Raw genomic sequence first — 27,932 nt, 5'->3', positions numbered from 1 at the left:
AAAGCAAAATGGTGCAGCCACCGTGGAAAACAGTATGGTGTATGGTGGTTCCTTAAAAAATTAAATGTATGATCCAGCAATTCCTTTTCTGGGCAAATACCCAAAAGATTTGAAAACAGGGACTTGAACAAATATTTGTACATCCATTTTCATGGCAGCATTATTGACTGCAGCCTAAAGGTGGTAGCAATCCATTCCTTGATGGACGAATAAATAAAATGTGATGTATGTACACAGTGGAATATTATTCACCCTTCAAAAGGAAGGAAATTCTGACATGTGCTACAACATGAATGAACTTTGAAGACATTTGCTAAGTGAAATAAGCCAGTCACAAAAGGACAAATAGCATATGATTCCACACATAGAAGGTGCTTAGAGTAGTCAAATTTGTAGAAACAAAGTAGAAAGGTAGTTGCCAGGGGCTGGGGAGGAAGGAATAGAAAATCGTGTTTAACGGCTACACAGTTTCACTTTGGGAAGATGAAAAAGTTCTGGAGATGGATGGTGGTGATGGTTGCCCAATAGTGTGAAAGTACTTAATGCCACTGAATTGTATAATCAAAATGATTAAAATGATAATTTTTTTGTTATGAATATTTTACCACAATTTAATTTTTTTTTTTTTTGAGACAGGGTCTCGCTCTGTAGCCCAGGCTGGCGTGCAGTGGCATGATCGTGACTCACTGCAGCCTTGACCTCACAGGCTCAATCAATCCTCCTGCCTCAGTCTCCTGAGTAGCTGGGACTACAGGTGCACACCACCACACCCAGCTAATTTTTGTATTTTCTGTAGAGATGGGGTTTCACCATGTTGCCCAGGCTGGTCTCAAACTCCTGGACTCAAGCATTCCTCCCGCCTCAACCTCCCAAAGTGCTGAGATTATAGGCATGAGCTACCGTGCCCAGCCAATTTTTAAAAATTGGAGAGATCAAAGCTTCCTGACCAGATTGCTCAGGTGTGCCACATGTAGGTTATTGGCATGCCAAGATATTGATCCCTTTCATTTTTGAATAGATCATGCAGAGCTGAGCACAGCTGAAATCCTCAGGCAGGTCACTGGAAGAGCTTCTTCTTACTCCAGTATGCTATACACATATTGTAATGTTTAAAATTTCAATATAATTTAATTATTATTTATACAGAATAAGTGCATGAAACAAAAATGCATAGCTCGGTAATTAATCTTAAACACCTGTGTAACCTTCACTTAGCTCAAGAACTAGAATATTGCCAGCATACCAGAAGTTAGGGTCGTGTGTTACCACCTAAGCAGGAATCCCCCAAAGTTCTGCCCTATATTTGGACATCATGTAAATGGAATCCTAGTATGAAAATGAATGAACTACAGCTACTCACAGCAACGTGAGTGAACCTCACAAACATCATATTGAATGAAATAAACCAGAGACAAAAGGAATACACCAGGCCTGTAATCCCAGTACTTTGGGAGGCCAAGGCGGGAGGATCACTTGAGGTCAGGAGTTCGAGACCAGCCTGGCCAACATGGTGAAACCCTGTCTCTACTGAAAATACAAAAAATTAGCCAGGCATGGTGGCGGGCACTTGTAATCCCAGCCACTCGGGAGGCTGAGGCAGGAGAATCACTTGAACTCAGGAAGCGGATGTTGCAGTGAGCTGAGATTGCACCACTGCATTTCAGCCTGGGCTGTAACAGAGTGAGACTCCATCTCAAACAACAACAACAACAACAGCAATTTTTAAAAATTTCTAAAAACCATACAATAACAACTATTTATACATGATGAAGGTGAGACCCAGAGAGTTAAAAATGAATTACTCTGGATCAAACACCTGGGAAATGGGAAATGGTGGCGTCAGAATTGAACTCAGGTGTTCTTTCTTTCTTTTTTGTTTTGTTGTTTTTTTTTTGGAGACAGGGTCTCGCTCTGTCATTGAGGCTGGAGTGCAGTGGCATGATCACGGCTCACTGCAACCTCTGCCTCTCAATCAAGTGATCCTCCCACCTCAGCCTCCAGAGTAGCTGGGACTACAGGCATGCACCACCATGCCTGGCTTTTTGTACCTTTTGTAGAGACAAGGTTTTGCCATGTGGCCCAGGCTGGTTTCGAACTCTTGAGCTCAGGCAATCTGCCCGCTTTGGCCTCACAAATTGCTGGGATTGCGATGAACTCAGGTGTTCTGATCCTAAATCCAGATTTTCCCATTCTACCTTCTGCTTTGAAAGATATAGAGGAGGCCAGGAGGGCTTAGCCCCGAGGTGGAGGAAGATAAGCTGGTATGAGGAAGCTGCTCAATGTCATTTTAAACCGTTTATCCATGGGCTCAGGTCATGTCTTTGTTGGGGGCCAAGCCAAGGCCCAGCAAAGACAAATGGCTCTTCCAGTGTGGGTGGAAGAGGGGTGAGGTCACCCAGTCCTCGGCCTGTGGTTTGCTTTGCCTCAGTGCCGGGAGCAATCTCTTGCCCTGATTTGCATTGTGGGCTGAGGATTCAGGTCAGTGAGAAGGCCAGTGATAGAATTGTCTGTGTGGGTGCTGCTGATAGGGATCAGCTGCTGATCATGGCTAGGGCTAGCGGCTGAGCACACGGGCACCAGCCTACTGCTCGGGCAGCAAGGCAGCAGGATGGAGGGGTTTGTAAAAATGCCTTCCACCTACCCTGCTGGGCTTGCCCGAGAGGCTCTGAGTGTGTGAAGGGGAAGACAATTATCGCTAGGCTGGAGAATAGAAAGAGCACCATCAGGTGAGAAAGAGAAGAAAAAAAGAGAGGGGAGAGAGTGGATAAGAAGAAGGAAGCCTGGGACACAAGAACAAGGGCTTTGCTTGCTCTAGGGCTTTGCTTGCTAAACTCCTAGGGAGCACACAAGTGAGAATCCAGGGCAGAGGGAAGCAGGATGGGTGCCCTGAGTGCTTGGCCCCATTTCCTGGGGCTTACTGGCCTCGTGGGTGGGAGTTTTATAGGCTACTGCTCCTTGGGGAGGCCTCAGTGATTGAGGATACTCCTGTATGAGCCTCGGCCCTGACCCCAGGATGGGGGACTGGAGGATCCTAACAGGATTGGGGGTTGGTTGGGTGTAACCAAGGTATCTGCCAAAGGGAGAGTACCAAGGAAAGCGGAGGCACCTCCTCCCTGGCTGTCCTTCACCCCCTCTCCCCTCCTTGTTCTCTGGGAGTGGCTGGCGAGCAGCGGCCTCCCCGCAGGGCCAGGCAGGTGGGCCAGAGCTTTTGGTTTGCTGAGGTTTGTCAGATTTTCCAGCTCAGGGCCCAGCCAGCTGGCAGGAAGCAGGACAGAGGTCACTTGAATTCAGACCACATGTCCCTGTTAAATACATTAGCTTTTAAATCAATCTTTGTTCAAAGTCCAGTGAGTTGCAAGCTTAATGCTCACCTGCAGAGACAGAATTCCTGAGTGAACGAACAGAGCAGCTCCTCTTCCATCTCCAGGTAAGAACTGCTCGTGTCCTCCTTGAGGGTGCTGGCCACCGGGGCCTGAACTACCTTCTTTCTTTTCCTTTTCCCTTTTTCTTTTTCCAAGCCAGTAGCTGGCTGTCTAGGGCAGAGAAGAGTCCCATGGGGAGGCAGCCAGGCCCCTTTGGCGGTGGTTGGGGGTGAGAGATGATCCACGCTCTGAGATTCTTTCTGCTGGAGATGCCCCTCACCTTTGTAGGCTAGGGTCTGCTTCACAAAGAAATTGGTAAACCGACCTCAGAAAAAGCCTTCCCGGGGTTGTGTGGGGGTTTGATGTGCAGCCAAAGGGAGTGAGACAACTGACTTCACAGGTAACCAGGCGGATATGCCCGGGACCTTCCTACTGATACAGGGGCCTTGGGTAGCAGAGAAGACTCTTCTGGAAGCAGCCTTTAAAGGATGCAGCCTAACTTAGCTTGCCCACTAGATAATAAAAGCAGGCATCTTTCCTCTCTGTATCACACTGCAGCACTAAGACATGAGAAAAACCAGTGGATTTCCAGGCTGGCTGAATTTTAAAACATACATTCCCCAGGCTCTCACCTTTGGCATTTCTAAGTCTCCAGGCCTTGTGTGAATTGAAAGATCTTTATTTGAAAACTCTCCCAGAATCATTCTGATCAGTGCAGGTAGGTTTGGGAACCACTAGTAGTTTATTTCTTAAGCAGAAGACTCATGAGACTTAAGTATGACACTTACCTAAGGGTTCACTCGCTATGAAGACTCCTGGTCTGGGTTGGGTCCAGCTATGAAGATTTGGGCGTTGGCTCTGAGAAACACATTCTTCTTTATTTACTAAAATCTCTGCAATGTGTCACCAGGGCAGCTTTCAGTCTTGTATCTAGAAGGCAAGAGGGGGTAGCAGGGACTGCCTCAGGCCATGATTGTCCAGTCATCTGAAGTCTGCAGCAAATTACTCAGGGTCTTTGAATTTCTGTGTTATGATAGTAACTTGTGCTTATCTTTGACTTTTGTATGTTCTCTGCACCATAGGGTGTGAAGTTGCTGGTAATGATGTCTTATATTCATAGACCACTGGCTAGGCAGCTACTTCTCCCCCAGGGGAAAGAACATAGGACTGGAATACAAATCATCAGAGTTTTGATTCAGTTGCTAGTGACAGGCCATTAGACAAACTACTTAGCCAACTGGAGCCTCAATTTCATTATTGATCAAGTGAAGGTCTGTCATCTTTTCCCCAAGAGTGTACTGAAAATAAAATTATAAGTACAAATGTGTGGTCCTGCATGGTGGCTCATGCCTGTAATCCCAGCACTTTGGGATGCCCAAGCGGGAGGATCACTTGAGGCCAGGAGTTCGAGACCAGCCTGGGCAATGAAGTGAGACCCCCGTCTCTACAAAAAATAATAATAAATTAATCCTGCATGGTGGCATGTGTCTGTGGTGTCAGCTACTTGGGAGGCTGAAATGGAAGGGTTGCTTGAGCCCAGGGGGTCGAGGCTACAGTGAGCCGTGATTGCATCACTGCACTCCAGCCTGGGTGACAGACTGAGATCCTGTCTAAAAAACAAAAAACCATGAATATGTTAAAAACACGATGTAAGATGCCTAGATTTCAAATGTGTATATCGAAAGTCTCTGTAGAATAGTAAGAAGAAACAAATTGCAGTCACTTGGGAAACCTTGTCCTAGTCTTTTAATCTCATTGAGCCTCTGTTTGCTCACTTACAAATAAGAAGTTGAGACCAGATCATCATTAATGTCTTTTTCAGTTGGCCAAGTATAAGGTAGATCCTGGAGCCTTGAAGGGTAGCTCCTTGTCATTGGGGTATGAATTAAAATGTCACCTCCCAGGAAGGACTTTCTAAATCAGCCTCCCACCTCCATGCCACCAGTATCTCTATCATTCACAGCGTGTACCATCAGAAATCATCTCATTTGGGCTGGGTGCAGTGGCTCACATCTGTAATCCCAGCACTTTGGGAGGCTGAGGCAGGTGGATCACCTGAGGTCAGGAGTTCAAGACCAGCTTGGCCAACATGGTGAAACCCCATCTCTACTAAAAATACAAAAATTAGCCGGGCGTGGTACTGCCTGTCTGTAGTATTAGCTACTTGGGAGGCTGAGGCAGGAGAATTGCTTGAACCTGGGAGGTGGAGGTTGCAGTGAGCCAAGATTGTGCCATTGCACCCTAGCCTGGGTGACAAAGTGAGACTCCATCTCGAGAAAAAAAAAATCATCTCTTTTACTTGTCACCTTTGCCAGATGTTAAGCTTCAAGACTGCAGGGATCTTGTCATTTGTGTTACTTGCTGTATTACCAGCCCCTTGAGCACTACCTGGCATAGAACATATTTGCATAAATGGAATTAGTGTGGCAGGGAAGGAGCTAGAAGAATAGATGCAGATGGCGATGGCTTTGATGAGGTGTTCCTCAGGAAAGGAGGTTGAAGGACTCCAATCCTCTCTCAGGGCATCTGAAGTCCAGGGTCTAATCATATGGGAATGGGTTTCTCTGGTCACTTCTTAGTGAAATGATTCTTGCATTCGTTGCATAGGGATGCAATGAGAGTGGCAAGCTGGAGCTAGACGTGTTTTCCTCAAGATCTCAGCAACTTCTTTCTTTGGTCCTTCATGAGGGACTGCCCAGATTTCCTTAATCTCTTTGCCTGATGGGTATCATGGCTAAGTGATTAAGAAAATGAGCACTGGGATTGGAAACCTGCACTCTAGATCAGGCTCTCTAAGCTTCTATTTCCTTGTCAGTCAAATGGGCATATTAGAACCTAGTTCCGGAAGTTATGAGGGTTAAATGAATGCACATAGTGTCTAGCACATCTTAAGTGCTATTGAGATAATCTTCAGACAGCTTTGCTATTACATGACCCCCGGAAATGAAGGAACCCAGGGAATGGCAGGAGTTTTGGAAAGTAGAAAAGATAGCCCTAGCCCACTTAGTGGCAACTAGAGAAGGTTTGCTTTTGGTCTGAGGTGGTCACTGGTTTCTGAGGTGCCAAGCCTGGTTGGAGGCACAGATAGTCAGCATTCATAAAGCTGCGTAGAACCATGGGGTCCCAATGGGGACATGAAACTAAATGATCCAGAAAAGCCCGTGGACTTTCCACCAGTTGTATTGAATACATACCTGATGGTGTGAGAATACAGAAAGGGGCTGTGGTGCCTGCTCTTAAGAAAGCTTATCTTGGCTGGGCATGATGGCTCACGCCTGTAATCCCAGCACTTTGGGAGGCTGAGGAGGGTGGATCACTTGAGGTCAGGAGTTTGAGACCAGCCTGGCCAACATAGTGAAACCCCATCTCTACTAAAAATACAAAAAGTAGCCGGGTGTGGTGGCGGGTGCCTTCAATCCCAGCTTCTCAGGAGGCTGAGGCAGAAGAATTGCTTGAATCCAAGTGGCAGAGGTTGCAGTGAGCCGAGATCGCACCACTGCACTCTAGCCTGGACCACAAGAGCAAGATTCCATCCCTCCTGGCCAAAAAAAAAAAGCTTATCTTGTTGGGGACACACGACATGGATCCTGAAGCTCCTCTATAGTCTACTGGACTGAGTCCAGTGCTCACAGTCTAACCTACTTCTTTTTTTCAACATATAACTGTGCTCTGATCTTTCTGAACCATTCACCATTCTGGGAATGCATCTCCTGCTGTTCCTTCTGCCTGGGATGACTTCCTCTTCCTAGTCTGACTACTTGTATTTCCAGAATACATTCTACACCTCAGGCCTGGGAGGCAGGGTAGATGGTGGAAGGAATCCAGACTCAACTGGGTTTGAATCCAGACTCTGCTTATCCAAATAGTCAGGGGAAACCAAGTTAACTTTTCAGAGTCTCTTTTCTTTTTCCTTGTAAAATGGCCCATCAGGATTGAATCAGAACCCATAAAAAGTACCTAGGCTGGTTCCTAATCCTAGTAGGGAGCTCAATAAATATATATAACAATAAGAAAGCTTTTGTATTTAAATATTCCAGCACCCACAACGTTGTTCAGCAGTTAAACTTCATAACTCTCCCCACTGGACTCCAGGCTCTTTCAGGGCAGGACGGTAGCTATTCTGGGTTGAGCCCTGATACCTGCCTCGCAGTAGGTATTACATAGAACTTGTTAAGTACATGAGCGATAACTGAAATTCAGAAGATGAAATGATACCTTCAGACTGTGGTGGTCATGGAAGGATTCGTATATAATCTAAAATTTGAACTGAGCCTTGAAAATGGTAGGTCTTAAATTCGTTCACTTGGAACAAATGTTTACTTAGCACGTACTATGAGTAAGTGCTCATGGGGCATGAGCAAAGGGCAGGCTCGTGTGGGTGACCATGCATAGACCAATTGGGGCTTGCTGAGGAGCTGGGGGCCTGAGGTAGGGCTGGATTATGCTGAGCCTCAGTGCCTGAGCAAGAAGCTTGAACTTCTTTTTTTTTGAGACGGAGTCTTGCTCTGTTGCCCAGGCTGGGGTGCAGTGGCACGATCTTGGCTCACTGCAAGCTCCGCCTCTTGGGTTCACACCATTCCCCTACCTCAGCCTCCCGAGTAGCTTGGACTACAGGCGTCCGCCACCACACCCAGCTAATTTTTTGTATTTTTAGTAGAGATGGGGTTTCACTGTGTTAGCCAGGATGGTCTCGATCTCCTGACCTCGTGATCCGCCTGCCTTGGCCTCCCAAAGTGCTGGGATTACAGGCGTGAGCCACTGCACCCGGCCGAGCTTCTTTTTCTTGAATTATTATTATTATTATTTTTGAGATGGTAGTATAATAAAACCAGGGTTAGAAAGTTTGTCTCGAGGCAAGACTCTTGTAGTAGTTTAAACATACCAAAAAAAAAGTGGGGGGGTAGAAATGCAAGTTCAAAAAGTCACAAAATGTCGATTTGGGGAAAGCACTTGTCTCAGCTGGCACTCAAGGCGGTTGAGCTGTCTATCAGCAGCATGAGGGTGTCCTCTCTCTGTGGGTGCCTCTGTTTCCACACAATATTGGCTCTATCCCTCTCCCAACTCATAGAACTCTTAGATAAGCAATCAAACTGTGAAAGGCCTTGAACTCCAGCCCAGAGTCTTGCCATATAGGACAAAGTATTGTTTATGGTGGCTGGAGGTAGGGAAGGTACTTAGTATCAGCAGGCCAAATGAACTTTGGGATAAGTAGATTCCATTCTTGATCATAAATGAGAAATAAAAACTACTCAGTGGGTCTGGGATCACTCTTCTCCAGATAATTCTCAATGGAATGGATTTCATTGATTTCTCATATTTGAAATTTATCCCTGGCTAAGACCAAACAGTAACTATCACAATGGGAAAGTACACTAGGCAAATACATATTTTAGAATCTTGCTTCTCCTTCTATTTTTGATATTAATTATTTAAAGTAAATATACTTGAGTATTTGAATTTCCATATGCTTTGCTTTTCAGAGGAGAAATCCAGGCAGCCTTAAATATGATCTGCATAAAAATATAGGATCTGTTCTAGGTAAAATATATTTGAAGAAGGGTGAAATTGAGTTGTCTTTATCTCTTCCTTGCTAGAGACATCTGTCAGTAGCAGCTCAGATACAGCAGGATTTTTTTGCTTATGCTGTTGGAAGGAACAGCATGTGCCAAGGCTCTGTGGCAGGCTCTGAAGGAGGCCAGCCATGGCTGGTGTGAGGCATGAAGCCTTGGAGTCAGGGCTGATGCCTGTAGGGAATTCTCAGCCTGTCTATAGTTGCTGGCTTAATGTTGCACAGTCTCCACCAACTGTATTTTCCTAACAAAAGTCTAGTGGGTTTGTTTTCTTCTTTCTTGTTACACAGATGCACACAAGTGCTGCAAGAACAGCATTCCTCAAAGTGCACACTGTGGTCAAGCGTCCTGAGAATGTGGCTTTTTTCTTGCTAAAGTTCAGAGTGTTTTATAGGCAAGCATGGAGTTCAGTGGAAAGCAAGTAATGTCTAGGTTTAATGTTGCCGGAGAGACCCTGCCCTTTCTTTTCCTTATGCCTCAACAAAACAGAAGTAACTTACTCTATGGTTTCATACTAGATTATACAATCAGATACCCTTCCACAGTCAGAGTAACTAGGGTTAAACATTCCTCACCAGCAGTCCTGCTAAGTGTTTGTTTTTTTTTTGAGATGGAGTCTCGCTCTGTTGCCCAGGTTGGAGTGCAGTGGTACTATCTTGGCTCACTGCAACCTCCACCTCCTGGGTTCAAGCAATTCTCCTGTCTCAGCCTCCCGAGTAGCTGGGACTACAGGCGTGTGCCACCACACCCAGCTGATTTTTGTATTTTTAGTAGAGACGGGGTTTCACCATATTGGTCAGGCTGGTCTCAAACTGCTGACCTCAGGTGATCCTCCTGTCTCAGCCTCCCAAACTGCTGGGATTACAGGCATGAGCCCCCGCGCCCAGCCCCTGCTAAGTTTTTAGTGTTTAGTGTTTTCATGGATTGAGTGTTGGTTATGTAAGTGCCTTGTGGGGAGAGGCTCTGTTGTCTTCGTGGTGTGATACTGACGGCATAATTGATTCCTAGTTACTATTAGATAAGGTGATGGTGGGTTCAGGTGTAGATGACTATATTTATGGAATAATCCTGCCACTTCTAAGTCCCAGACCTTGGAAGATGAGCAGAGATGACAGTACCTGGGCTGTTTCTTTCCTGATGGTATTTCATTGCATCTGGCCATCGCTGGTGACAGCCCCCTTCTGTCTTTCTCCCTCCAAGCAGAATGCTGTTTATCCCATGCCCTCTCTCTGATCTTTTGGCATTTCAGTGATGCTGTCTGGTGAGTGAGCCTATTCACTAGCTACTCCTTGGCTATGAAGGTCCCTCTCTGGGCCAGGTATCTATAGCTAAGGTAATGCTTCACTCACTCCATCTTCTCCACTGCTGTCTGTTCCTTGGGTCCCTATGTTCACTTCTGTTAGAGCTTATCCACTCCAGGCGGTGGAACTCTCTGGCCAGCTTAGTCTTGAAATTCTGTTAAAGCTCCCTGGACTCTTTTACCTCCTTGATACACAGCATTTGGTTCTATTTTGTAATTCCCTGGCTTTTAGACTTACAGGATACTTTTGAGTCCAGAGTTTATTATTTGAGCTTTCTTTCATGGGGAACAAAATCTCCAGCCCTGACTTTTCAGCAGCTAAAATTAGCTTCGCAGAAGTGATCTGGACTGAGTAGATAGAGAATCCCTTGCCTGATCATTGAGGTGCCTGCCCATTCTTAGTCTGTAATTTCTTCCTGTCTTCTGCAAAAAGAAAATCAGGAAAAATTTCAAATATTCTCACAGAAAATGGGATTCCCATTGCATCAGGCGTTTCATCAGAGGACAGGAAAGAGTAACTTGGATGGAGTGGACTTCTATGCTCCAGAAACTGTGCTGAGAGGCCTTGCATGCTCTACTGTGAGCCATCTTCACGGCATCCACATGTGCTTCCTATTCTAGGGGTATTCTATCTTCAGCTCAAAATTAAGGAACTCACCCATGTTCTTACAGTTAACAAGCGGTGAAGCCAGGATTAAAAACTAGGTTTGGCTCTAAAACCCTTGCTCTTTCTACTCTACCTTACTCAGAATCGATCCTGGGGGAAGATGGAAACAAAAATACAGATTCCCTTTTGTATACACATCTGGCTCCTTTAGAATTGCATCATGGGGAACTATTCTGCTCTAAAGATCTTTTCAGATAACTTTTCCTGTGTCAACCCACTAACTTTTGAAACTGCTTCCACAGTCCCTTCTTCTTTCTTCCCAACTCATGCTGCTAAGCTAGTCCCTGAAACATTTCATCTTCCCAATCCCAAACTCCTAGCTCCTCTTATCTGCCAATTCATGTTGGCCCCACAGTCTGACATTCCAGCTCTGTGCCCCTTGTAAATCTAGAAATCCTCACATCCTACTCTTATGGGCTTGTTAGTTTGAGATGGAGTCTTGCTGTGTCACTGAGGCTGGAGTGAGTGGTACAATCTTGGCTCACTGCAACCTCCACCTCCCGGGTTCAAGCGATTCCTGTGCCTCAGCCTCCTGAGTAGCTGGGATTACAGGCACGCACAACCACGCCCAGCTAATTTTTAAATTTATTTTATTTTTTTTTAAATTTGAGATGGAGTTTCACTCGTTGCCCAGGCTGGAGTGTAATGGCGTGATCTCAGCTCACTGCAACCTTTGCCTCCTGGGTTCAAGTGATTCTCCTGCCTCAGACTCCTGAGTAGCTGGGATTACAGATGCCCACCACCAAGCCTGGCTAATTTTTGTATTTTTAGTAGAGACAGGGTTTCGCCAAGTTGGCCACGCTGGTCTCAAACTCCTGACCTCAGGTGATCCGCCTGCCTCGGCCTCCAAAAGTGCTGGGATTACAGGCATGAACCACTGTACCTGGCCTTTATTTTTTATTTTTTGAGGCAGACTCTCGTTCTGTCGCCCAGGCTGGAGTGCAGTGGTGCAATCTTGGCTTACTGCAGCCTCCGCCTCCCGCCTCCCGGGTTCAAGCAATTCTCCTGTCTCAGCCTCCGGAGTATATGGGGTTATAGGTGCCTGCCACCACACCTGGCTAATGTTTTTTGTGTTTTTAGGAGAGATGAGGTTTCACCATGTTGGCCAAGCTGGTCTCGAACTCCTGACCTCAAGTAATTCACCCGTCTCGGCCTCCCAAAGTGCTGGGATTATAGGTGTGAGCCACTGCGCCTGGCCTACCCTTATGTTTTAAAAATATGTTAGCCCCAACTTAGGGTAAAAGTTACCACTTTCCTTTTCTATTCTTGATGTATATTACTGTAAGAAAAATCCATGGGAACCCATGCTGCTGCAAGTTTATTATATATATATATTTTAACCTAAGTTGTTTCTTAGACATTTTAATTCAATTCATTGACTCTTTGTAGTGAGCTAATGCTGTGGCCATTAGTTCACTGTCTTAGTTCACCGCCAGCTCGGGGGCTCCATTCTCTTTTGGTTTACATAGAATTTCTTTTAAGTTTGAAATAGCTGTCAGTTTTTTTAAATGGGGACATTTTATGTAAATCTAGATTTCCAGAGTCTCTTGAAAATTGAAAGGTGGCATGCTGGCCTCCTCTTCCTCAGGCAGTTGTCTTCTCATGAAAAGCAGCAGCTTTTCCTCCGTCCCCTCTCGGCCACCTTCGCTGATTTACCTGTTTGACCCTAGAGATTATTTTTCTGTGGTACTTTTGCTCCATATTCTCCAAGTTCCTGATTTTTGTCAGCTACTTCGTAGGAGAGATTGAGGCTGAGGTAAGTGACCTTGTTTTCTTCTTTATCATATTTTTTTCTACTTCTCTTCTGCCCCTGGAGAAGAGGTATTTCCTCTCACCAAGGCTAACCCCAGTTTCCATGTTCTCCATATCATCTCTTGATACAGAAACATGCTGATCGTTTCCTTAATGTTAAAAATAAAAACATCCAGGCTGGGTGCAGTGGCTCATGCCTGTAATCCCAGCACTTTGGGAGGCTGAGGCGGGCGGACCACAAGGTCAGGAGTTTGAGACCAGCCTGACCAACATGGTGAAATCCTGTCTCTACTAAAAAAAAAAAAAAAAAAAAAAAAAAAAAAAAAAAATTAGCTGGGCATGGTGGCGGGTGCCTGAAATCCCAACTACTCAGGAGGCTGAGCAGGAGACTTGCTTGAATCTGGGAGGCAGAGGTTGCAGTGAGCTGAGATCGCACCACTGCACTCCAGCCTGGGTGACAGAGCGAGACTGTCTCAAAAAATAAAATATCAATATTCGTTGCTTCTGTTACTTGGTATCCACTTGCTTCTTAGTGTTTTATCAGGCCCAGACTTCCATTTTCTGAATGTCAGTGGCATTTTCTGTTTTCATTCTCTCTACCTCTTAGCATTATTTGGCATTGTTAACTATCCCATCTTAAAATTCTTCTTTTAGTTTTGATGACACTAAAATTTTGGCATTTTGTTTTCTGATTATTCCTTTTTGCTTCCTCTTTCTTTTCTCTCTTTCTCTTTCTCTCTTTCCCTTCCTTCCTTCCTTCCCTCCTTTCTGTCTCACTCACTCTGTTGCCCAGACTAGAGTGCAGTGGTGTGATCTCGGCTCACCGCAACCACTGCCTCCCGGGTTCAAGCGATTCTCCTGCCTCAGCCTCCCAAGTACCTGGGCTTACAGGCACGTGCCTCCATGCCCGGCTAATTCTTGTATTTTTAGAAGAGATGGGGCTTCACCAGTTGGCCAGGCTGGTCTTGAACTCCTAACCTCAAATGATCTACCCGCCTCGGCCTCCCAAAGTACTGGAATTACAGGTGTGAGCCACCGCATCCAGCCTCCTTTTTGTTTCATTTTCCTATCACTTAGATACAGGTATTGCAAAGGCTTTATCCTTGGCTCCCCTCTTTTTGTAATCTCATTGATGGGCTTCATGTAGTGCTGCTGTGCAGATGGTCCCAAACCTCGACTCTAGTCCAGCATCTCCTAAGCTCTAGGTGATGTTCCGTCAAGTCCTCTAATTGAAACCTACCTCAAACTGACATTGCCATCTCATTCCTCATGACTACACCATCTTTTAATGGCATCACATTTCTGCCAGTCATCAAAGCATGAATTAGTTTCCTTTGACACATTCCCTTTCAAACACACAGCCTGGGTGGGCAGCATTCCTCAGAAGGTGCTAGAGCTGCTGTAATAGAAGACCACGGAAGGTGTGGCTTAAATAACATTTATTTTCTCATGATTCTAGAGGCTGGAAGTCCAAGGTGTCAACAGGTTTGGGTCCTCGGAGGCCCCTCTCCTGTCTTCTCCCTGTGTCCTCACATGGCTTTATTCTCTGTGCAAGTGCCTCTCTGATGTCTCTTCCTCTTTTCTTAAGGGCATCAGTCCTGTTGAATTAGGGTCCCACCCTTATGACCTCATTTAACCTTTGTTACTTCTTTAAAGTTCCTGTCTCCAAGTATAGTCACATTGGGGATTAGGGCTTCAATGTATGAATTGGAAGTTGGGGGCAAAAATCAGTCTATAATAGAAGGGGAGTTCGGGGCTTGAAGTAGGAAAGCTATCCAGGCTGGTTAGTAGAAAATACTGAGCCAGGGTTATCAGTTCAGGGAAAGTATACAGCTGGCCCTTGCGGAGAAGCAGGCAGATAAGTGAGTGGCTACAGAGCTACAGTGTCCTTGCAACCCCTGGACTAAGAGGAGCCCAAAGCACAGTTGTGTTCGAATTGAGCTGTGGCCTCAGAAGACTTAACTGTGCATTTGCCACTCTGCGACAGGGGATCTTTCCTCATGACAGTGAAACCAGAACAAAATAACTACATGCCAGGGGAGTAAGCCATCATTAGGAAGAGTGGCAGGAGCCTGTGGGCCCTGACACTGGGTGCTGCACACCTGTTGTTCCTCCTGGACACTTGTCATGGTGAGTGTAAAGAAGTGTTTTGGACATCTGTGTTGTCACAGCTGTTCTGTCTGAGATAATCTCTGCATGGAGAAATCTGAGGGAACAAGGCTGAAGACTTACTACAATGTCACTTAGTCCTCTCTGTAGTTCCTCCACCTCTGTCACCTTCATTCTATTCTGATGGCTGCTATGTGGGTCAGGCAGGCCCTTTATCACGTGTGAGTAGGATTTTGACAACAGCCTCTTACCTGGCCTCTCTGCAGTGTGTCTTTGCTTGAATCCAGCCTACCTGCCCTTCTTGGAACCCAACTCTGATCCTGTTATTCCTCTGCTTAAAAGCCTTGAGTGGTGCCCCTTTCCACCAAGCTAAGGCCAGATCCCTTGGGCTGATATTAAAGGCCTTTATAGTCTAATTTGTCACCCATGATTTCCCTTCTGTTGGCTGTCCTTCAACCACATTGGGTTTTAGCTCTTCCTTGACGACACCCAAGCTTTCCCTCTTTCTTTCTCTCTCTCTTGCTCTCCTCTTTCTCTCTCTCTCTCTCTCCTCTTTCTCTCTTTCGACAGTGTCTCACTCTGTCACCCGGGCTGGAGTTCAGTGCACTGTCTCGGCTCACTGCAACCTCCGCTTCCTGGGTTGAAGTGATTCTCCTGCCTCAGCCTCCTCAATAGCTGGGACTACAGGTGCCCACCACCACGCCTGGCTAATTTTTGTATTTTTTGGTAGAGGCAGGGTTTCGCCATGTTGGCCAGGCTGGTCTTGAGCTCCTGACCTCAAGTGATCTGCCCACCTCTGCCTCTGCCTCCCAAAGTGTTGGGATTACAGGTGTGAGCCACCGCACCTGGCAAACTTTCCCACTTTCATAACATGGTGTCCACACTGATTGGTGTCTAAAATGGTCTCGTCCTTCTTCTGCACTTGTTGAAATGTCATCCATATGTTGTTAAGGCTCAAATCAAGTCCTGCCTAATTTTTGAAGGTTTCCTTAATTTGTTTCATATTGTAGGTCTTACCTCACTTATACTCTGCTCACAATGATATTTTTCTTTCTTTCTTTCCTTTTTTTTTTTTTTTTTTTTTTTTTGAGACAGAGTCTTGCTCTGTCCCCAGGCTGGAGTGTACTGGCGCGATCTCAGCACACTGTAACCTCCACCTCCCGGGTTCAAGCGATTCTCCTGCCTCAACCTCCTGAGTAGCTGGGACTACAGGCATGCACCACCACACCTGGCTAATTTTTGTATTTTTAGTAGAGACAGGGTTTCACCATGTTGGCCAGGATGGTCTAGATCTCTTGACCTCATGATCCGCCCTCCTCGGCCTCCCAAAGTGCTGGGATTACAGGTGTGAGCCACTGCACCCGGCAAGTTATTTTTGTTCTAAAACTTTTTCTTAACTTTATTCAACTATAAAGGCTCTTGAGAATAGGGGTGGTGTATAACTTTATCCTTTCAACCACTTGACAGTGTTTTGCATATAAGTGAGGGGCAGATGCCTGTGGCATGAACAAATGAAATCAGGTTTGGGTAGTATGTCTTCTTGATGCTGAAATGGAAAATAGAAGGAACTATGTTCATGATCCCAAACAGATTTCACCTGCCCCAGCATGCTAACTGAAGAAACTAATTGTTTGGGAAAGGGAAGAGATTGGTAGGGAGCAAAGAACTGTGGAGTAAATCTGGCAACCATCACTCATCCTCCAGGGTTCACGGGATGACTGGTAGGGCCTCAGTCCTGAATGGATTCTGCCCATAGGTTTGGAGGAGGATGAGGAATGGCCTCAGCTTTTAAGGTGTTTAGGTTTGGGAGGTGGGGAGCAATCCCCTAGACTTAATTAAGAGCATAAAGAGTCCATGAGAACAGTGAAAGGTTGTTTTATCTGCTTGGTTCTATGCTCCCCCGACTCAGAACTAGAACTTGGGGAGGGAGGCACAAGGAACAGATTGCAGGTTGTGACACACTCCTATCCTGCTGGCTGGGGCACTGATTGTGGGTACACAGGATCCCGAGGACTGCACGGTGTGACCAAGGGCTTCTCCTAATCAGGCTGCCACCTTGGCCTGTCAAGTTGGATAAAGGTGAGCCCAGGGTGGCTGTGATTAGTTCATTCAATCTCAACATTCCTCTGTGACCCATGAGGGAGGGAGTTATCCTGAGGCTGAGGGGAGACAGGAGGAGTCGAGGCAGCCTAGGGTGATTTTTTTTTTTTTTGGTGGAGTCTCGCTCTGTCACCCAGGCTGGAGTTCAGTGGCCTGATCTCAGCTCACTGCAAGCTCCGCCTTCCGGGTTCACGCCATTCTCCTGCCTCAGCCTCCCGAGTAGCTGGGACCACAGGCGCCCGCCACCACGCCCGGCTAATTTTTTGTATTTTTAGTAGAGACGGGGTTTCACGGTGTTAGCCAGGATGGTATCGATCTCCTGACCTTGTGATCTGCCTGCCTCGGCCTCGGCCTCCCAAAGTGCTGAGATTACAGGCGTGAGCCACCGCGCCCGGCACCTAGGGTGATTTTTAAGCTCTAGTTCCTTTGATCTGGTTTAGGTCTTTAGGTCTGCTTTAGACCTGAGGTGGGGCCTAAGCATCGATTTTTCTAAATCTCTACAGGTGATTCTGAGGGGCAGCTAGGATTGAGAATCAAACTTGTAAGGTGATTGCGAGCATTAAATGAGATAATGTGCCATAGAGAGTTTTCAAATGACATGATTTATTATTGCTAGCATCACCTGACACGGTCTACAGAGTTACACAATTTCAACTAAATTCTTCTGCTCACTCAGATGAGACAGCTGGAGCCTTTGGGCATGGGTGGACAACTAGGACTGAGGAGATGAAGGAAGATCTTGTCATTCTGCTGACTTCACTCCTCAAGGAGTTGCCATTTATTTTCCTTCTTCAGAAGAAGAATTTACTTACCCCTGGCCCATGTTTTGTCTGGTCTCTAGCAGCTTCAGAATTCCTTTTCTTTTCTTTTTCTTGAGACAGAGTCTTGCTCTGTCGCCAGGCTGGAGTGCAGTGACGCAATCTTGGCTTACTGCAAGCTCCACCTCCCGGGTTCAAGCGATTCTCCTGCCTCACGCCGCCACCACACCCAGCTAATTTTTTTTTTTTTGAATTTTAGGAGACAAGGTTTCACCATGTTGGCCAGGATGGTTTTGATCTCCTGACCTCGTTATCCGCTTGCCTTGGCCTCCCAAAGTGCTGGAATTACAGGCGTGAGCCACTGCGCCCAGTCCAGAATTCTTTTTCTTTCTTTCTTCTTCTTCTTTTTTTTTTTTTTGAGACGGAATCTCACTGTTGTCGAGCTGGAGTGCACTGGCACGATTTTGGCTCACTGCAACCTCTGCCCCCCAGGTCCAAGCGATTCCCCTTCCCCAGCCTCCCGAGTAGTTGGGATTACAGGTGTGCACCACCATACTTGGCTAATTTTTGTATTTTTAGTAGAGACGGGGTTTCACCATGTTTGCCAGGCTGGTCTCTAACTCCTGACCTCAGGTGATCCACCCACCTTGGCATCCCAAAGTGCTGGGATTACAGGCGTGAGCCACCATGCCAGGCCCAGAATTCCTTTTCAAAATAACACCTGGAAGCTCATAGGAGTTACACAAAGAGCACTCAGGAACAGCTCCCAGCTCAGACTTCCAGCTTTCTGTGCAGAGGAGTTGGTGAGGGTGGTGCTGAGGATCTCATATATCAATCCTGTTGATGGCCGTCTGGGGCCTGAGAGTCCTTGGCCTGCCTTGGGCTGGGAAGAAGTCCCCTAGGTCCCACCAGCTATTTCTTTCCTATGGAAAATAGACCAGTGGCTTTAGTTCTTTCTACTTTGCCAGATCCAGAGGTCATACCACCCTCCTTTTCATTACCAAGCCTTCCTAACTTCTAAAGGGTATTTAATGTTTCTTCTTGACCACGGCCACATTATTCTCTTTCCTGGCAGCAATAATCTAATCATTTTGGAAAAAAGCAAAATTTAATGGTATAATTAGCTTTTTCATCAATAAAATTGGTGAAAAAAAAAATCTCATTGGCTCTCACCCCCGAGCGGTTCCTGTCTGCCAGCCAACACTTTGTTCTCTTTCCCACAGATAAACAACTTTGTTGTCAACTATTGATTTTTCCCCCCCGAGCTCAGGAATGGTTATAGCTTTCTTTCATCTCCAGTTTTTTTTTCTTTTTTTGAAACAGGGTCTCATTCTGTTGCCCAGGCTGGAGTGCAGTGGTGCGATCTCGGCTCACAGCAACCTCTCTGCCTCCAGGTTCAAGCCATCCTCCCAACTAAGCCTCCCGAGTAGCTGGGACTAAAGATGTGTACCACCATGTATTTTGGCTGTTTGAACTGGGGAACAAAGCCTGCTGGATTTAATGGACTCCAACTTCAAATGATTGCTGCTAATGATATTCTAGAAATCCATAGGCCTTCATTTCTTCTGTGTCTATCCACCAGAGGGGTCTGATCTCTAGATTTTTTCAGGAGGCAGAAGATGAGGTGGGGTTAAAGAAGTAGGAAAGAGTATCCTTAAATACAAAGATCCTTCCTAATTAGGCCCTGTGTTCCAGAGTCCCAGGCATCCTTGTCATGGAGCAATGACAGAGTCTTGCGAAAGAGACATACCCCAGCTCTGAATTAGGGGACAGAGTAACACCAGGATGTGGACTAGACAGAACAAGGCCTGGAGGTGGACCAGAGCCCAGCTCCCTTGGCTCCTAGATGAATCATCTTTCTGCAAGATGGCAAAGGAAACAAATAGTTTTAGGTTCCCATGTAAGACCAGGCTTTTGAGGTTTAGGTCTGCTTTCCCCATTGGTGCAGCTGGGGGCGTTAAATATTTAATCAGTTTGGCCTGGGTACATGCAGATCGATGGCCATAGCATTAATCCATTAATGGCTGTGTGGTGGGGAGTACACAGTGGCAGAAGGCAGTTGGGGGCTTGCAGCAGTAGCTGTTTCCCCACCAGTATGGTAGCATTTCACTATTGGTATAAAGTGGCTCTAATTTTCTGGCTTCAACCAGACAAAAAAGAAACTGACCTTGAATGCTTGAGCCTTCAAAGCCATAGATGCAGATCTGAGCGATTACCATCTGGCTGTTTGAAAACTTCAAACAAAAAAGTCAACTTGAGATTCTGCCAAGAAACAGTGATTTGTGTTTCTTTGTATGTCAGGCTCACAGGTCTCCAGTGAGACATAGGAAAACCTTTGCCTCTTCCCCTCTCTCCAAACACAGGGCTGGTTCTCCTAGTGAGGAGGTTTCACTTTCTATCCTTGGCCTACAAACAAAGAGATTAAGAGTTTGTGGTTGACACTGCAGGGCGTGAGATTGTTGAGTCTTGGGTGTGAGTGCCTTAGAAATGAGCATTCATATGCTGATCACAAACAGCCTCATCTCTTGATGAAAACATAGTATCTGTTGGCCTTATTCTGATTATAAGGACATATTTTAAATTTTGTAGGATTTGAATGAGGTTCTCCAATAATTACTCCCAACTTTAAGAGGGCTTTGCATGTTTTGTTTGACATTGTTTTATTTTCTTCACAGCAAATATCATTATCTGAAATGATCCTATTCATTTATGTAATTACTGTCTGATCCTCCCAGTAAAGTACATTGAGACCTCGTCTTTCTTTTCTGATTTTTTTTCTTTTGGGGTCTTTTGGCCCTATGAAATGGAAAGGTGTAGGGATCTACAGGTGAGCTTGGACATAGATGTGAACTCAAGCTGAAACTGAACTGATGCTCGCAGGTTGGGATCAGCAGAAAGAGGAGTGAAAGGTGAGGGAGCTGGAATGGGCCACAAACAGGTGCCTGGATGTGACTCAACTCTGGTGATGCCATATTTTCTCCTTTCATCCCAGAGTGGTGTTTTCCTGGCAGCTGGTCATGGCTTTTGATAAGGCAGAGCTGCCTAGCTCTCCCAAGGTGCTGGTGTTGACCACTGGTGAGTGGCTTTGCTGTTTTCTTGCCTCAATGCTCGATGGGGAGTCTATTTGTTTGCTTCTTTCTTCGCTACTTAGTCACTCGTGCCACTGGTGGCGTGGGGCTTCAGACTTTGCGGAGACTGCAGGAGAGGCCTGGTATTGGGCAGCTGGGGGCTCTCTGTCTGATTTGTACTGTACGTCTCTGTGGGCATGAAGGTCAGGGATGGCTATCTTCAATCACCATGCCATGGCTTCTAGGGTGCCTGGAGCACTTTGTGGCCTATTCTTCACCCTCCCCCATATCCTGTGTGGTCATCCGTTCTTGTCCCTCCAGGAGGGAAGGGATAGGTGGTTTATTCTGATTTGTAGGTAGGGAACTGTGATGAGAGGAACTTGAGGGCTTGCCTTGCAGGTGGTGTGAAGAGCAGACTCCAGTGCTCTGTTGTGAGCCTTCTGCCTTCTGTATCAGCCTCTTGCTGTTCTGGCCCCTGTTCTTATTCTCCTATAAAAGAAAAAGCTTTCAGCCAGCAGGTGTCGGGGCACTGGCAGAAGTCTTACCCTTAATAATAACTGTGTGCCGGAGCCCTAGCTGTCGGTTTTACACTTGTCCTGTCTTCCTCCTATGGCTCAGGACCTTGCCCCTGCAATGGGGCAACAGGAGGGGCAGGATGAATGGAAATAGAAGCTGCTTCAGGCCAGGCATGGGGGCTCATTCTGTAATTCCAGCACTTTGGGAGCCTGAAGCATGAAGATCACTTGAGCCCAGGAGTTTGAGACCAGCCTGGGCAACAAAGCAAGACACTGTCTCTAAAAAAATTAGTTAGCAGGGCATAGTGATATGTGCCTGTAGCTCCAGCTATTCAGGAGGCTGAGGTGGGAGGATCGCCTAAGCCCAGGAATTCGAGGCTGCAGTGAGCTGCGATTGCGCCACTGCACTGCAGCCTGGGTGACAAAGCGTCTGGGAGGGAGAGCCCCAACCTAGCCACTGGAATCCCTTTTCTATCGAGCATCTCTTTTCTGCTGTGGCTAGAGACTTCAGGGGCCAGAACAGCCTTTTCTAGTGCATCTCCAACATATTGGACCAGCTCTAAGGCCTGGTGTCCTTTTTTTTTGAGGCAGAGTCTCACTCTATTGCCCAGGCTGGAGTGCAGCAGTGTGATCTCGGCTCACTGCAATCTCCACCTCCCAGGTTAAAGCAATTATCCTGCCTCAGCCTCCCGAATAGCTGGGACAACAGGTGGCTGCCACCACGCCTGGCTAATTTTTGTAATTTTAGTAGAGCTGGGGTTTCACCATATTGGCCAGGCTGGTCTCAAACTCCTGACCTTGTGATCTGCCCGCCTCGGCCTCCCAAAGTGCTGGGAATACAGGGGTGAGCCACTGTGCCTGCCTTTTTTAATGGTTTAAGCTCTTCCTTGTCCTGTCCTACCTCACCAAGCTTCTACTAATCCTTCAGTTCTTGGAAGTGTCATTCCTTCAGGAAATGTTCTTTGTTCTTCCCATCCCGCTCCCTATTCCCAAGACCCTTTGTTATTTTCCCCCTTATCACTGCATTCTTCCCCAGCATGACACTCACCACGTGTGGTTATAGGAATGTAATAATGTTCCCCAATAGAAGAGGCAAGGTATGGGTCCATCTTGTCTACAGATTTAACCTCGATTCCTTGAACTTGAAAAGCTCTTCAAATGTTTGAATGAGAGTGGGCTTGTCATAAATTTTTTGGGTCATGTATTTGGACTTAATTTCTTTAGGTCAGAGGACAAAGAGGAGTTTGGTTGGAGATACTGAAATGGAAGCATCTGTGTCCAGTACTCAGTAAAAAATACGTGGGTCTGAAACTCTAGTAAAAAGGTTGTCCTTGGGGAAACAGATTTGGAAATCATTAGCAAGTTCTGGAAGGTGTCCTCCTGTGCCCCCAGCATTACTACCCAAGCAGTCTAGATTTGGTGATTGGAAGAACAGAATTATAGGAGATGGAGGATGGGGTTCTCACTCCAATTAGATTCTCTTTTCCATGGTTTTATTAATTTATTTTTTTCATCACAGAAATGACCTCCACCTTCAACCCCCGAGAATGTAAACTGTCCAAGCAAGAAGGGCAAAACTATGGCTTCTTCCTGCGAATTGAGAAGGACACCGAGGGCCACCTGGTCCGGGTGGTTGAGAAGTGTAGCCCAGCAGAGAAGGCTGGCCTTCAAGATGGAGACAGAGTTCTTAGGATCAATGGTGTCTTTGTGGACAAAGAAGAACATATGCAGGTGAATGAGACATTTGGGGCTTTTCTTCCAGGATCTCTTCAGCCCCCACATCTTCTCTGCTGATTATAATTTTGGGGGTTGGTAGAGTTTGGTTCTTTCCTGGCTGCCACTGGCAAGGCAGGACACCTTTATTGCTGTACCTTGTGTTGGCCAATCAAGTCCCCTATGAGGAACCAAGAACTGTACACATTACTCTTGGATTTGAATAGCGTTAGGTCTAACATGAATTGCATGTTCACTATATACCAAAAATGGTGCTAGGTATTTTTTTTTTTTTTTTTTTTTTTGAGATGGAGTTTCGCTCTTTCACCCAGGCTAGAGTGCAGTGGTGCGATCTCGGTTCACTGCAAGCTCTACCTCCCGGGTTCATGCCATTCTCCTGCCTCAGCCTCCCAAGTAGCTGGGACTATAGGCACCCGCCACCACACCCAGCTTTTTTTTTTTTTTTGTATTTTTAGTAGAGATGGGGTTTCACCGTGTTAGCCAGGATGGTCTCGATCTCCTGACCTCGTGATCCGCCCGCTTCGGCCTCCCAAAGTGCAGTGATTACAGGCATGAGCCACCACGCTCGGCCAGCAATTTTATATTCATTATCTTGTTAAGTCCTCATCATGACCTCATAAGGTATATGTTACAATTTCACAGATTAGGAAGCTAAGTACAGATATCTTAGCTTGCTAACATGTTCCTGCTGAGGATATATGGGAGAGTCTGGCCTTACCTTATTCTGCCTGACTCCAAAAGCATGGTCTTTTCCTTACACTGTGCTGTCCCCATGCACACGGGAGGAATGGTTACAATCTAGGGCAGCGCTCCTCTCTAGAAAGGACCAGTCTTGTAAGAACCCTCTGGGCTGGGGTTGAACCACACTCTATATTCCAGCAGTGCCAGAAGCTCAGCCTAATCTGCACCTGGATCTCGGGAGGGCAGGGATGGAGGTGGCTGAGGAACTACCTGCTTCTACTTGGGTGTCAAGGGTCAACTAGCAGCATCTCCAGGGCCAGATATTGAGCCAGATGGTCAGCATTTCCCTCTGGCAGTTGGCAGAGGGTTATTAAAGTTACCTTTTTCTTCTTCCCTCCTAGGTTGTGGATCTGGTCAGAAAGAGTGGGAATTCAGTGACTTTACTAGTTCTGGATGGGGATTCCTATGAGAAAGCAGTGAAAACACGGGTGGACTTGAAAGAGTTGGGTCAAAGTCAGAAGGAGCAAGGTTTGAGTGATAATATACTTTCCCCTGTGATGAATGGAGGTGTGCAAACTTGGACCCAGCCCCGGCTCTGCTATCTCGTGAAGGAAGGAGGCAGCTATGGCTTCTCTCTGAAAACTGTCCAAGGTGAGAATTTTTTGGGGAGCAGGGGGAGGCAGGGGCAGGGCACAGACAACAGGCTTCCAGAACAAAGATGCTACTGGTTAATGACTTTTCTTCTTTGACTGACTTTTCAGTTGCTATAGATAGCTTGCAACAGCTTGCCTCCCTCCGTCTCTCACTCCCTCCCTGCCCTTTCCCTTGCCTTGCACAGTTGTGCAATGGGGGAGGGACACTGGACAGCAGTGGGGGTGGGGGGCACTGGGTACTCCTGTCCCTGAGTGTTTGTCAGGCTGGCACTTGAGGACTCTTTGAGGTCAGGGGGCCAGAGGGTTGATGCTTCTAGCCCTCTTAGGGTGAAAATGAAGGGCAGAATAAGGAATAAAAGGCAAGAAAAATGAGATTCTTCATAATAGCTATTTTTGAGTAAGATTGGTATCTTTTTTTTATCTGAGTGCCCAGATAGTCATTCATTTATTCAACAAATTCTTGAGCACCTGCTGATGTGCCAGGCACTGTTACCTTTGCTGAGAATACCGCAAAAATTTCCACCCTCCTGTAACATTTTGATAGTACCCTCAGCTGCGGCTCAGCCCCACCTGTTCTGAGGCGCATCTTTGAGCTCTGGCTAAGAGGTACATAGTGATTTGAGAAACCCTGACCATCAGGAAGCACCAGAAGTTCTATTTCTAGAATTTCAGAGGTGCAGACTAACCTGTGTTCAGTTGACCGTGGCTCTGGGGTATTGGTTGGAACCAGAGGAGCTGTGTTAGCTGGTCAATTCCTTCTTGAACACTGCCTCTGCCTATGTTCTTTCTGGGGCTGGAGAAGCACTGGTGGTAGGTCATGATTTGGCAAGTGATACAGCAGCAGACCAGTGGTAAATTTAAAATAGTTTCTAAGGCTTATTTAACCTGTACCAAGAGATGTAAACTCACGATAAGGGGTATTTCTCAGGTCTGTCAGTTATTAAACACAGTGGTGTGTATAGTCAAAGGAAGCTTGGCACGTCTTAGAAGCCTATTATCAGTAAAGTGGTAAAAAAAAGAAAATCATAATTCAGATTCTACTCATCTGGCTCATGTGCTAATGCACATGGTGAATGGTTTAGGTTAGCTTTATGAGGAAAATGGTCTCTTCATGACAAATATATAACAAGGTAGCAGGAGAAATGCTGAGTGTTTAAGGAAGCAGAGTTTAAGTTATTGTCATTCCTTACAAGTGATTTATGTAGTCATTAGCAAGCGATCCCTTGCCTAGGTTGACATACAAGAGTCCCCCCTTATCCTGTTTGGCTTTCCATAGTTTCAGTTACCTTACCTGCAGGCAACTGTGGTCTGAAAATATTAAATGGAAAATTCCATACATAATTTTTGCATTGTGAACCATTATGAGTAGTGTAATGAAATCTTGTGCTGTCCTGCCCCGTCTTGGACATGAATCCTCTGTTTGTCTAGCATCTCCACGTGGCATGTGCTTACCTGCCTGTTAGTCTTACTACTTACTACTCAGTTACCAGGTCAACTGTCACGGTATTAAAGTACTGTGTTCAAATAATCCTTATTTTGCTTAATAATGGCCCAGCACAGAAAGAAAAATATCACATATTCTCATATGTGGGAGCTAAAAAAGGTGAATCTCATGGAGGTAGAGAGTAGAATGAGAGATACCAGCAGCTGGGAAGGGTATGTGTGTGGGGTAGGGTGGGGATGAAGAGAGCTAGGTTAATGGGTACAAACCCACAGAGAGAAGGAATAAGTTCTAATGTTTGATAGCACAGTGGGGTGACTGTAGTTAACAACAATGTATTGTACATTTCAAAATAGCTGTAAGAAGATTTGAAATATTCTCAACACAAAGAAATGATAAATGTTCAAGGATGGATGTCCTAAATATTACACCCTGATTTGTTCATTATATGCTCTTGGTATCAAAATATGACACACACCCTATAAATATGTACAAATGTTATGTATCAATAAAAAATAATAGCTCAGGCCGGGCGCAGTGGCTCACGCCTGTAATCCCAGCACTTTGGGAGGCCGAGGCGGGCAGATCATGAGGTCAGGAGATCGAGACCATCCTGGCTAACACGGTGAAACCCTGTCTCTACTAAAAATACAAAAAATTAGCCGGGTGTGGTGGTGGGCGCCTGTAGTCCCAGCTACTCAGGAGGCTGAGGCAGGAGAATGGTGTGAACCCGGGAGGCGGAGGTTGCAGTGAGCTCAGATTGCGCCACTGCACTCCAGGCTGGGCGATAAAGCAAGACTCCGTCTCAAAAAAAAAAAAAAAAAAAGCCAAAAATGCAAGGATAGTGATGCTGGCAGTTCAGATATGACAAAGAGAAGCTGTAAAGTGGCCGGGCACAGTGGCTCATATCTGTAATCCTAGCGCTTTGAGAGTGCGAGGCGAGTGGATTACCTGAGGTCAGGAGTTCGAGACAAGCCTGGCCAACATGGCGAAACCCCATCTCTACTAAAAATACAAAAATTAGCCAGGCGCGGTGGCAGGCGCCTGTAGTCCCAGCTACTCGAGAGGCTGAGGCAGGAGAATCGCTTGAACCGGGGAGGCAGAGGTTGCTGTGAGCCAAGATTGCGGCCCTGCGTTCCAGCCTAGGTGACAGAGCGAGACTCCATCTGTTAAAAAAAAAAAAAAAAAGGCTGTAAAGTGCTTCTATTAAGTGAAAAGTTCTCGATTTAATAAGGAAAGAAAAAATACTGTATGCTGAGGTTGCTAAGATTAGCTCAGTTATTGTTAATCTCTTACTGTGCCTAATTTATAAGTTAAACTCTATTGTAGGTATGTAAGCACAGGAAAAAACATATAGGGTTCGGTATACTATCTTAAAGTTTCAGGCCTCCACTGGGGGTCTTGGAATGTATCCCCCATGGTTAAGGGGGAACTGCTCTATTAATATCTTTGAAGAATTGACAGCATTTCTATAAGTAGCACCTAAATCTCACCACCTAAATGCATTCGGGTTCTTCCCTCCCTCCTGTGCCTGTCCTTGTTAGCCTACATTGGTGAGATGACTCCACAGCATACGATGGCTAATATAATAGTACAAACTGAAGAGGAGAGAATGGTAAAGATGCTTTCTGATTCTACAAATGCAAAGAAAGGGCGTATGACACAATAATGCAGTGTGGGCATGTTTTAGCGCTTTCTGGTTCAAGGGGCCAAGGCCACCCAAGATTCCATCTTTGCATTTAGCTGACCTCAGAAATTCTATTCAAATCAACAAATACCCACTGAGTAAAGGCTGTGTCAAGTTCAGTGCCAGGACCTATAACTGTGATTTTAGATCAGAAGCCAAAGGCCGAGTTAGCTCTAAAATCGGAAGTTTGTTTCACATTATTGGGAGAAAAGTCTTTACCATTGGATTTCGAGTTTTTCTTTGCAATGGAGTGTTCTGTGAAAGGGTGGTGTATGCAAAGCAGTCCCTCAAAGGCCAAAGGAGCTGAGAAACCAAAGGACAAGGCAGGCAAATCCAGTTTGTTGGTACATTGGAATTTATCAGGGGAACTTACGAACAGAAGCATGGTCTTGGACAGCCACAAAACATGTAGATCTCTGTGTTACTCCCCAGACCCAAGGCTGATATACCATAGGGAAAGGGTATATGTGCTCCAGCAAGACAATCGAAGGCAGCCCTCCGCAATAGCCAAGAATGCTATAGTGCATCATAGCCT

General features: G+C 46.0%; 1 protein-coding gene across 13 annotated transcripts in view, besides 2 other annotated features; it reads left to right on the top strand.

The window, feature by feature from the left end:
• Window positions 3,129-4,328: an enhancer, noted in NCBI's record as "CDK7 strongly-dependent group 2 enhancer chr1:145727451-145728650 (GRCh37/hg19 assembly coordinates)". NCBI's record gives its function as "activates an origin of replication core promoter dependent on BRD2, BRD4, P300/CBP, MED14 and CDK7 cofactors, with strong dependence on CDK7, by STARR-seq in HCT116 cells {active_cell/tissue: HCT116}" and the evidence as "EXISTENCE:reporter gene assay evidence [ECO:0000049][PMID:35650434]".
• The window catches only part of PDZK1 (PDZ domain containing 1), a 36,549-nt gene continuing 11,960 nt past the window's right edge, over window positions 3,344-27,932 (top strand). For 3 of the 13 annotated variants that reach the window (XR_007061050.1, XM_047422527.1, XM_047422528.1), the window contains exons 1-5: window positions 3,344-3,427; window positions 18,942-20,527; window positions 20,611-20,693; window positions 22,721-22,932; window positions 24,018-24,267. Coding sequence is in view for 10 of the 13 variants with exons in the window: in XM_047422527.1 (XP_047278483.1) it covers window positions 20,636-20,693; window positions 22,721-22,932; window positions 24,018-24,267 (520 nt within the window). In the remaining 3 variants the exon portion in view is untranslated. 13 annotated transcript variants of the gene reach the window in all.
• Window positions 19,790-20,291: an enhancer, noted in NCBI's record as "NANOG hESC enhancer chr1:145744111-145744612 (GRCh37/hg19 assembly coordinates)". NCBI's record gives its function as "activates a minimal SCP1, AML or CMV promoter by ChIP-STARR-seq in naive H9 embryonic stem cells {active_cell/tissue: H9 hESC(naive)}" and the evidence as "EXISTENCE:reporter gene assay evidence [ECO:0000049][PMID:30033119]".

The sequence above is a fragment of the Homo sapiens genome, chromosome 1 (assembly GCF_000001405.40).
Source record: "Homo sapiens chromosome 1, GRCh38.p14 Primary Assembly".
In the NCBI taxonomy this organism is placed as follows: domain Eukaryota; kingdom Metazoa; phylum Chordata; class Mammalia; order Primates; family Hominidae; genus Homo; species Homo sapiens.
The sequence above is the reverse complement of the archived record's forward strand: the minus strand, read 5'-3'. Positions and strand labels throughout refer to the sequence as shown.